The sequence below is a fragment of the Homo sapiens genome, chromosome 6 (genome assembly GCF_000001405.40).
Source record: "Homo sapiens chromosome 6, GRCh38.p14 Primary Assembly".
Lineage (NCBI taxonomy): Eukaryota > Metazoa > Chordata > Mammalia > Primates > Hominidae > Homo > Homo sapiens.
Window position 1 is genome coordinate 118,652,944 of NC_000006.12, and position 11,745 is coordinate 118,664,688.

The following is an 11,745-nucleotide window of genomic DNA, read 5'->3' on the forward strand; positions in this document are numbered from 1 at the left end:
GAAGCTATAGCACTATGTATAGATTTTTTTTTCATGCTTTGTAGTTACCACAGTCTCAGGAACAGAATTTTTGAAATTCATTTGTGATGCAGTTCTAAGAAGTGTATAAAATATTACAGAAATATCTTGGCCTTTGCGAGTTTAAAATACACTTATTATTTCAAAACTGCCAATTTCCTAATTCTAAACAGTGTTTAAAGAAAATCGTTTACTCGGGTTTTCTACATCTTTTTATCAATATAAAGGGCATGCTACTACACACAAAAAAAGTACATGCGAAGGTGAAAGTATCTAAAATATTTCAATATCTATTACAGAGTAAAAGCAAACAGTAAAAACATGTTGCTCTTTTGGCACTTGGCACCAAATATGAAATTTTTGTGTCCCTAGTAATTAAACTTGGGAGGATAGAGGGCTAATGCAATTAGAACTAATTGAAATACTAAGTGAGAATATTATGTTGCTAAAGTATCCATTTCTTTTAATCATATGAATTCTGAGTATATACTGAACTAATGCTTCCCCCCAAATCCATGATACATGGATGATATGTACATGGTATGATACAGCCATGGTTTTCAGAATGATTAAAATTTATCATAACACAAGTTGGAGAACCTAAGGACTATCTAACCATTACTAAACCCCATGTGGTAAACTGCCATATTTTTGTTTTGTTGTGACAGTGTGTTAGGACTACAAGGAGAATTTTAAAAGCAAAGACAGTTATCGTTGAACCTCAATAAACCTCAATCTTGGCAGTTGTTCTGTGCAGATATAAGTAATGAAAATAGTGACTCTGTGTATGTGTGTGTGTGTGTGTGTGTGTGTGTATAAGTATCATTGCTCAGATGAAATTAGGATATTTAATGTTTTGGGAGGGGACTTTTTAAGAATATAAACTAGATCACAAAAGAAGAAAATAGTACTAAAAATGCCACATTTAATACCAAACTATATTAAACTATTTGTTTAAAATGTCTCATTTCAAAAAAAGACATTATTTAAAACTGAAAAATAAGTGTTGCATTTATAATTCTTAAATTTGTATATAAATCTTTGAACTGATTAAGTTGAGCTATCTTACATGTGTTTTTCTGATTCAAATTTATCAGATTGTGCAAACATCATCTACAGAACTGAAGAGGGATATGACAATGAATAAAAGTGATATTTTTAAATTAGAAGAGCCAGGTGCAGTCACTCATGCCTGTAATCCAGTGCTTTGAGAGACCAAGGCAGGAGAATCACTTAAGCCCAGGAGTTGGAGGCTGTAGTGAGCTGTAATGATTGTGCCACCGCACTCAAGCCTGGGCAACAGAGCAAAACCCTGCCTCTAAAAAATAAATAAAATGAGAAGGAAACCCCATGCATAATATGAGGAAAGCTCAAGAGAGCTTTATATTTACAAAAATATAAAATATATAAATAGCAAAAGAACCCAACAATATGTAGGAAAAGTAAACCAACCAATAACAATTGAAATAGTTCCTAAAGAACTATTGCTACTACATAGAAAGAGATTTATGAATGAATTCTAAAAGATTCCAAGGACTAGACAATTCTTGTATATCAAGTGTGTATCAAGGACCATGCTATACAACCTCTTCCAGATCACAAAGGTGACAAGTTATCCAATTATTTGTGGATTGTTGTAATCCCAAAAATCATTTATAATTTAAAAAAACACTCTTTCTTTTGAAGATGGATTTGACTATCTTAATTGGATCCCTGGCAGGTAGAATTCAAATAGGTGAATGGAAAACAAATAGGTTACTTAACCTGTGCCTCAATTCCCTTACCTGTAAATTGGGGATTATAATGATAACTGCCTCACAGGATTGCTGTGGGGTTTAAACATGTTAATCTTTGTAAAATAGTTAGAACAGTGTATGTGTACATCCTATATTGGTAATACAGACAAACATACAATTTAGAAATGTAACTGTTATAGCTCACCAAGAAAAAATAACATTCATTGGTATAGGCCAGGTCAGTTGTAGATGATAATTTATATACATGTATCAGAATAAAGTAGTGACTGGGATCTTTTCCTGACCCTTTGGGGTTACTAATTAGTCCAGGAATTATGGTGAAATAGTACACTCTTAACAAATATATACCAAATTTTTGGGAGCCAAGTTCATAGAAACCTTCATTCTAGGCTGTGATTTCCTACCCAGTGCTACCAAAATAAAGGAAGGAAAATTAGGGAGAGGTAGCTAGGTGGTATGGCGAGGCCAAGACAAGGACACCTTATCTCAAGTCCCTGATTCCTGGGAGGTACAGAAAATGAATCTCACCTGTACCTTTGACTCCAGAGTTGGGTTGCAATAACCAATAAGAAAGAAGGTATGATATGGACCACTGAAGCAGTCCTTGGGATAGGAAGTGGGTGTGGGAGGGATAGAATTCTGCCAACAGATGAAGTCTTCCAAAGGACCATCAATGTTTTCAGGAACTGCTTAGGACTGACATCTTTGTCAATGGAACTTATTATGGTAACCACCTGGTCATCCTGAGCGTATGAAAAGAGACAAGATCATTTACTTGTTTGGGACAGCAACCTGGACAGTGCATAAGAAGACAAATTCTTCCCTCCCTGCCTGCTTTTTCAGACACTGGAACAGTAAATAGAAGGTTGGAAGTGTGGATTCAAGAAAGCAGATCATGCCTTCACACACAAACCCACACACAGCCTCCTACCTGACCTGCCCTGGTGGGGAAGAGGACTGTTGAAAGCTGAAAATGTTCAAAATGTTGGGGAATTGGATTGAGATGTACTCAGTGGAAAAGGGGATTTTCAACAGTGTACAGCTGGCAGTGTTATTGGGGGAGAAAAAACTTTGAGTATATACTTCCAATGATTTGAGACTTCTCACTAAACCAGTTACCTATTTTATGTTGAGTAGTTAGTAATACCTCCATTTTACAGATGGGGAAAAAAGACCAAAGAGAAGTTAGGGAAGGTCACACAGGAAGTAAAGAGCTAGAATTCAAATCTGATCCATGTGACTCCAAAGCCCATGCCTTTTCCGCCATGCTCTTCAACATGCTGTGAAATAAAAATTAGAAGATTTCTTTTCAGATGCCATATGAGAAGGAAATACCTAACTATAGGATTTCTGTATAGTGTTAGGGTTCAGCTAAGACTGGAAACCATGTGACATTAATCTGCGGTGGTATATGGTTTTCTTTAGCTGTAGCCAGCAGTTTGAGTGTAGGAAGAAAGAAGGCAGATAGATAAACAGGGTTTTGCAGTGTGGGCACTCAAACAGGAAAAAGGGGCAAAGAATGTAAGGATATTGGCAGAAGAATAGATGAAGTGATGGGAAACTGGGTGTAGCCTATCTGGAAAAAGCAGTTAAATCAAGGCAAAGCTGAAATGTGGAGAGAAGGTCATGGGAATAAAGGAGTGGAACTTTTACAATTGAAAAGCAAATATAATGAGAGTAAGGGAGTAAAAGTTGGAAAGATACGATGTTAGGGTGGGAGAGGAGGATGCTGAAGTTTGAGACTGCAGAGATGAGACAGTGGAGGAATTGATCTGTGAGGTGACCTTGGAGTGTGTCTCTCTGATCTCCCTTCAAGAAAGACCTTGATATTCAGCCATGAGGAATGTAGTTGGCTGACAGCCTCCAACTTTTAGTGCCTGTAGGACCTGCCTCAGCCTTTTTATTTAATTTTATTTTTTATTGATACATAATAGATGTACATATTTTGGGCATATATGTGATAATTTAATACATTCATATAATTTGTAAAGATCAAATCAGTGTTATTGGGATGTCCATCATCTTAAAAATTTTCTTTATGCTAGAAACATTCAAATTATTTTCTTCTAGCTATTTTAAAATATAACAATAGATTATTGTAAACCACAGTCGCCCTACTCCATGCTTTTCCCAGATATCCCCAGCCAGTGACAAAGCTCAGCCGAGATACTTGGGCCTGGCCATTCTTTGCAATGCAGAGCCCTTCTAATCATCAGTCCTTGTTCTCTAGCTTGCTGTTGAGTTGACTGGGAACTTGTCAGATGTGCATTGTGGTCTGAGCCTTTCCTTTCCAGTCCTGCTTCCTGTGCCTTTCATCTTTCACAGGTGTTACCTTCCAATAAGCCTCTTACACCCCTAGTTCCATTTTAGCATCCGCTTTCCAGAAAAGCCAACTGACACATTCTGTGAGGAAGATGAAGATTGGGGGTTTTGTTTTAAAAAGGAAAACAGGAGGTCTACACAGCATGATGAAAATGTTTCCCAGAGAGGACAGTATACTGAGGATGAGTTACCAGGAAGGCAGCATGTAGCAGCATAGACTGAGACTATACAGGAGTATAAATGAGTAAATGTCTTAAGTTCTGAACAGCAGAGAAAGGCAGAATTGAGAGAACTGGGCCTGGCACAGTGGCTCACGCCTGTAACCTCAGCACTTTGGGAGGCTGAGGCTGGCAGAACACTTGAAGTCAGGAGTTCCAGATCAGCATGGCCAACATGGTGAAACCCCCTCTCTACTAAAAAAATACAAAAATTAGCTGGGCATGGTGGCACATGCCTGTAGTCTCTGCTACTCTGGAGGCTGAGGCATGAGAACTGCTTGAACCCAGGAGGCAGAGGTTGCAGCCAAGATCACACCACTGCACTCCAGCCTGAGCGACAGAGTGAGACTGTCTCCAAAACAGAAAGACAGACACGACAGTTTCAAGTTGGACTCAGAATACCACTTGGGCACATGGAACTCTGGAGGAGAAGGTCCTCAATGCTTCTGACTGGACTGGGCCAGGGAGCTACTGCCCCCCAATTAAAAAAGTTTGCCACTATTCAGAGTACTTCCAGGAGCAAATTACAAACTTGTGAAACTTACTGAGTTAACTGATGTCAATAGGATTTTAATTCATTAATTAAGAATAATTAGTTACAACTTCACTACTCAAATAATTTTAAATCATTAAGACAGTTTTCATAGTAGCTTCCTTACTTCTGGGTACTAGAAGAGAATTCAATTCAATATACTCTGTTCCCGTTGGTAAGGTTTTTTTATTCCAAAGAATTTTCAGCGTATTGCTTACCCAGTGGAAGAATGTAGGGATCTCTGGAACTGTAAATAGAGTTAACATCACTTAAACAATCCCTAGAGGAATCTGAGCTAATTTAAGGAGTGGACCTTTTTGCTAAGATTTCAGTGGAGGTCTGGAATTTTAACAAGTTATTATAATAAACTCAGAAAAACAGACAAGTCTAACTACAATTTTCAGGTTTATGGGAGAACTAATTTCTTTATGGCTTTTTTTCTGGTCATAAAAATAATACATATAAAAAACAAAAAGATGATTTAGAGATATTATTATTCATCTGGCAATTATTTGTTGAGTACCAAAGTAGGGGAGAAAAACTAAAACCAGACACAAGTGTGAAGGATCGGTTACTTCACTATAACATTTCAAGCTTTTTAATTTTCTATTGTGTAACCAGTATAAAATAGCTATATGGGAAGGCTTCTTTGTTCTTTTGTTTTTAACACAATAGAGTTACTTTGTCCTGCCGTCCTTATAATCTCTCATGTATGGGTCACTCTTAATTATTTTATTTTGTTCAACAGTATCCTGATTGCAGAAGTCTCTTAGCCTGACATAAATTCAAGCTGTAAAATCTAGAACCTGTATTTTTAAAAATAAATAAACTTTTAAAAGACCACTTTAAAATGGAATACAATAATTACGAAATTATGATTGTAAATATATGTTAAATATAAAAGTGGAAAAAGCAACATTTAAATCAGTATATTTAATAAGTGTTATAAGTAAATTAATAAATATTTTAAGTTGACATTTAACTATTTTGCTTATATCTCAAAAGTTTAACACATCAGGTTGTCCCAAACACACTTTTGAAAATGTGCTTTAGAAAAACGGGAAAATCATATTATATTTGGACATATCTAGACCAAATTAAAATTGGTCTTTTTTCCTCTACTTTGCGGCATAAACAAGGTATTTCTTAAACAGCCCTAATATTTTGTAGTGTTATTTTGGGGGAATCTATTTTTAACATACTACCTAAAACTGAACTCAGAAAAAAATCTTACAGACTTTTTTTACAAGCAAGACTTAAAAGTTTTTAAAACCCTAGTAGAATAACCAATCTCTACTTTCATTATAGTAATTGACACTAGTTTTTTAATGTTCTATGCACCTTGAATCACCAGTTACTACAATGAAAACACAAAGAGCCACCTGAATATCAAATACATGCATTATTACAAGTGCTCACACGGAATATGAGATGAATTACTGATGAACAAAGCATCTAAAATCAACTTATACTCCTCATGCATATGCTGTGGATGATGACAAAAGAAATTATGAAAAGATATATATATGATATACATGAATCTATATTCTCTAATTGAGACATTATACAAATCTTTATAATAGACTTTATATTAATTAATTAGGTACTTTTTTCCATTACAGTAATCTCCTAATGAAGTTATGGAGCAAACTTCAGCTTTAGCAAAGTTGGGCAAGTTATTTATACTGCGAAAGATAGCTGAAGGATAACTGTTTTCAACTGAGACCAAAAGACATAGTAGTTAGCATTTATTTTCATAATCTTAAAAAGGCATACAATTTCGGTAGGAGGCAGTAGTTATAGTGACACTAAGGGAGATGGTAGATTGGGAGCATTCAATCAGCATTCGGGGAGAATAGAGAGAAAAGGCAATATCAAGAGAATTCGTCACCACAGTTGTCTGGATGCTGTTGCCTTCTTTGCTCACCCTTGAAGGTCAGTCTGGTTCTGGCCCAGGCCCAAGATCTAAGTTTCAGATCACGGCAGGCTTAGGAGAACAGTGCAGACTGGAACATCTAATCCCACCCCAGCTTGCCCTAAGATGGCCCCTGAATTTGTTCAGCTCCTGGGCCTGCCGCCGTCCTAACTTGCCTGAAACTGTTTTCCAAAAAATTAGAGCATAGATGAGCAATGCCACGTTAGCTTCAGTTTTGATTTTGGGTGTTACCACATAATTTTTTTAAAAGAATTTTTATCTTCCCACATACCAACTTTTAGAACAGATGGCTTAAAATGTCTTAGAGGAAATTAGTTGTAATCAGCAGATGAGAGTGTGTCTCCTTGTTTTCGTGGCAGAGGTAGCTATCACCCCTTAAGTACCTATCTGCTACATGTGAACTGGCACCAGGCATTGTAGTTTTTCTGTTGCATTTTCATCCAGAGGGTTATGATGGGCTTCGTTAAAATGATTTGGTACACATGTGGGCATTTGCCTGCAAGTATAACCTCTGTGAAGAGGTAAACTGTATAGGCTTCAAGGTGGCTTTCTGCTGAGGTGGCTGCCAGCCTCCCTGGAGAAGGTGTCAGCTGAAGACCTCAAGTAAGAGCCACAGTGAAGCTCATATGCCTTGATCTCTTTTCTGATCCTGGCAAAAGGCCAGCTGTGGAGTACTGCTGCAGTCAGGAGCTGGGGGAGTTGGCAGATTGCCAGATAAGGGGCCATACTGTCATTTATAAGGCAATGGCTTTTATAGATCTCTAGTAACCCATACTCCTACTTACTTGAACACTATGATTTCTGGGAGAAAAAAGAGCCAGATAACTTTCCCATTGGAATAAAACCAAAACAAACACTGTATTTAGGTTCACAGGATCTATATTGAATGTCTTTTCAAAGTACTTCATACTTATTTCAGTCAATATCCTTTGCCTGATCCTGTGTCCACAACACACATGCCTCCTGAGTCTTAAGATGCTCCTTGCTCCTCTAGACACCTTTGAAGATACTCTCATTCCACTACGCCTGGGGCCATGTAATGTCTGTAATTGCCTCATTAACTCTCACCTTGAGTTCTCTGAATCTGGTTTTCTCAAACATATTTGAGGATAAGGAGACTGTCACTTAATGTGAAAGGTGTCAGAATTTTCTTTTTTTCTTTTTTTTTTCTTTTTTTGAGACGGAGTCTCGCACTGTCGCCTGGACTGGAGTACAATGGCATGATCTCGGCTCACTGCAATCTCGGCCTCCTGGGTTCAGGCAATTCTCCTGCCTCAGCCTCCCCAGTAGCTGGGATTACAGGCACCCGCCACCACGCCCAGGTAATTTTTTGTATTTTTAGTAGAGATAGGGTTTCACTGTGTTGGCCAGGCTGGTCTCAAACTCCTGACCTCATTATCTGCCCACCTCAGCCTCCCAAAGTGCTGGGATTACAGGTGTGAGCCACCGCGCCCAGCCAAGGTGTCAGAATTTTCAAAGGAAAAATGGAATATTGATAAACTGAGTAAAATATGATTACCATATAATGTCATCTTAAGATGTTCTTGTAGTTTCAAACTTGTATAAACAAAATTGGTATTTATACATGTGTCCTATTAATGCACACGAGAGTAGATTAGAACCTATATCCAGAGTATTTTTTCTTGTGCCTTGAAAAACCAACTTAAAAATAAGGTATTTCAAAATTTGGTTTCTAAATACGTTTCAATAAGGTTTGTTATTATTCTTTTTCTTTTAAAATTACATTTTTATAAATAATAAAATTTTAATTGTGCTCCAGTTAACTATTAATAAATATTCAGAATCCTTAAGGGTTTATTTTAGTTAAAATGTTTAGGACTAATGCATTAGTAAATTGAAATTTGGATACAGGAATTGCCTGGATCTTTGTTTTACAAAAAAAATCAGAAAAAAGTAATACCAACCCTATAAAATCCTAAATCTCTAATAATGTAAATATATTATTAGTGGTAATGTTATTTGTTGAGTTTAAGAGTATATTTAATTTTATAGAACAATAAAATATTTTGATATAGAATATTCAGGGAAAAAATAGAGAAGGAAGACAATTGTAAGTCGGAGAGAAACTGGGATCTGTCTATAATGACTGTGTTAAAGAATAGCACTAAAGCCACCTCATAAACCAATGACGTTGTATCACGAAATGACTTTTAAGTTGATGGAGCTGCAGCAAATAAGTTCAAAGCAAGAGGTGCCAGCACCAGAGACTTGGGTTTTGATACAGCTCTGCTCCCTACTGGCTTATCATTGGGATCAAATAGGATCATTGCAGTACTATCTCATAAAGCCATTGTGAGGAATAAATAGGATCATGTTGGAAAAGTGCTTCACAAGTTTTAGGTAATCTAATCTTGCTAAGAAAAGGGGCGAATAATTCACAAGAAAAACCAGAGTAATGATAAAAGGTATTATTGCATGCTAAGTGAGCACTGTGCCAAGAATTTCACATGCAGCTTCCCATTTCATCTTCATAACAACATGATAAAGAATAGTATGAATTGGCCGGGTGCGGTGGCTCACTCCTGTAATCCCAACACCTTGGGAGGCCAAGGTGGGCAGATCACTTGAGGTCAGGAGTTCGAGACCAGCCTGGCCAACATGGTGAAACTCCGTCTCTACTGAAAATACAAAAATTAGCTGGGTGTGGAGGCGCATGGCTGTAATCCCAGATACTCGGGAGGCTGAGGCAGGAGAATCGCTTGAACCCAGGAGGCGGAGGTTGCAATGAGCCGAGATCGCGCCACTGCATTCCAGGCTGGGTGACATGAGGGAAACCGCATCTCAAAAGAAAAAAAAAAAAAAGAATAGTATGAGTTATTATTATCTCCATTTCATAGATGAGGCAAATGAGTCATAGAGAGGTGCCAGGAGACATAGTTAATTAGTGGCAGAGTAGGAATTCAAAGACAGTTCCACCTGACTCTAGAATCTGAGCACTTTAATATTAGCTATAGTATATTAAAAAGTTCAACTTCATTAGTAAGTAAAGATTTAACAATTAAAACATATGGACATGGGAGTGCAAAGGAATGATAAACATCAAATTCCAGTTGTCTCTGTAGAGGGAGGGAGGAAGGCATTGGAATGGATTTGGGAAAGTGGTGCATGACGATTTCAGTTATATATGTAGTATTGACTCTCATGTATTCATCCTGATATAGTGGAAAGAGCATAAGTATTGAGTTAGTCAAGCCAGGCTTTTAATGAAAATGTGGAAATTTGTTAAGACTTGACAAACCAGAACCAGGGGTTATATATTTTTTCTGCATACTTTTTTGAATGCTTAAAATAATTTTCATGGTAAAAAAAAAAAGCAGTGAACTAAAGTCATCCTACTTCATTTATACAAAGATTAAATAATTAAGAAAATAATTTTGGTGAAGGTTTGGAGAAACCGATATACACTTCTAATAGTATAAATGGGACCAACTCTTTTGGAAAGCAACTTGGCAATATGTGCCATAAAAACAATCTGGCTCTTTGGTTCAGTAAGTTTCCTTTTGGGACATTATCCTAAGGGAAAAAAATCAAAATGTACATGTGCATACAGAAACATACACACTGGAAAAACTGTATGCATGAAAATGTCAACTGCAGTGTTGTTTATAACGATGGAATATGATAAACAATCTAAAATTTTAACAATAGAAAAGTAGTCAATATTTTGCAGCCTTTAAAGAAATATTTATGATGGCTATGTAGCAATTTGAGTAATGATTGTGATGTAATGTTAATTGAAAAAAGGATATGAAGTTGCATATCCACCAGGATTAAATCAATGAAAAAATAATCATAGAAAAAGATTTAGGAAGAAACAGCCTAAAGTAATGAGTACAGAATTTGTGTCAAAATGATGAGATGCATTCTTTCCTTTTTCTCTTCCAGATTTTTGATATAGATTTGACATATTGTTTTTGAAATGGAAAACTACAGTTGTCCATTGGTACCCAAGAGGGATTGGTTCCAGGATCCCCAAAGATACCAAAATTTGAGGATGCTCAAGTCTCTTATATAGAAGGGCATAGTATTTGCATATAACCTGTGCACATCCTCCAGTATATTTAAATAATGTCCAGGGTACTTACAATACCTAACACAATGTAAGTGCTATGTAAATAGCTGTTATGTTGTTTTTTTTATTGTTGTACTATTATTTTTTATTCTTGGGAAGTTTTTCCTTTTTTTTTTTTTTTCTGAGACAGAATCTTGCTTTGTCACCCAGGCTGGAGTGTTGACCTTCTGGGCTCAAGTGATCCTCCTGCCTCAGCCTCCCGAATAGCTGAGATTACAGGAACGCACCACTATGCCTGCCTAATTTTTGCATTTTTTGTAGAGATTAGGTCTTGCCATGTTGCCCAGGCTGGTCTCAAACGCCTGAGCTCAAGCAGTCCTCCCACCTCAGCCTCCCAAAGTCCTGAGATCATGGTATAAGCCACTGCACCTGGCCTTTTTCCAAACAGTTATAATCAGCCACTGGTTGAATTCACAGTTGGTTGAATTCATGGTTGGTTGAATCTGCAGATGTGAAACCAATGGATACTAATAGCCACCTATATTACATAGTACAAACCTAGCTTTGAAAATAGTGAGACAGATATGAAAATAAACTAGAATTCACGGGAGAAAATGAGGGGTTCTAAGAAAGGTGTAGACAATACATTACCAATACAGGAGGTCAGAGGAAGGGGAGATCTGTCAGGCTGGGGTCTTCAGGAATGCTTCACGAAGGAGGGACTATCAGTGGACTTCAGTAATTTGTAGAGCCGGGTAAGAGCTGGGGATGAAAGGAGGGCTAAGCAGGAGGCATGCAAGTTGCAAAGTGGAGCAATGGGAGATGTTCTCAGGAAACAGCACTGTGTGTCACGGAATATTTTACTTTCAGTTTTTCTGGGTTTTCAGAAAATGTGGTAACTTTAAAGTTTTCACAGTTGAATTAATTCC

At 37.1% G+C, this 11,745-nt stretch overlaps 1 protein-coding gene across 7 annotated transcripts in view; it reads right to left on the reverse strand.

Moving 5' to 3' along the window:
* CEP85L (centrosomal protein 85L) overlaps positions 1-11,745 on the reverse strand; it is a 249,318-nt gene that overhangs the window by 192,172 nt on the left and 45,401 nt on the right. For 3 of the 7 annotated variants that reach the window (XM_011535810.3, XM_017010846.2, XM_047418760.1), the window contains one exon: positions 11,468-11,578. The exons of the other annotated variants lie outside the window; for them this stretch is intronic. The gene's annotated coding sequence lies outside the window, so the exon portion shown is untranslated. The remainder of the gene's footprint in view (positions 1-11,467; positions 11,579-11,745) is intronic. 7 annotated transcript variants of the gene reach the window in all.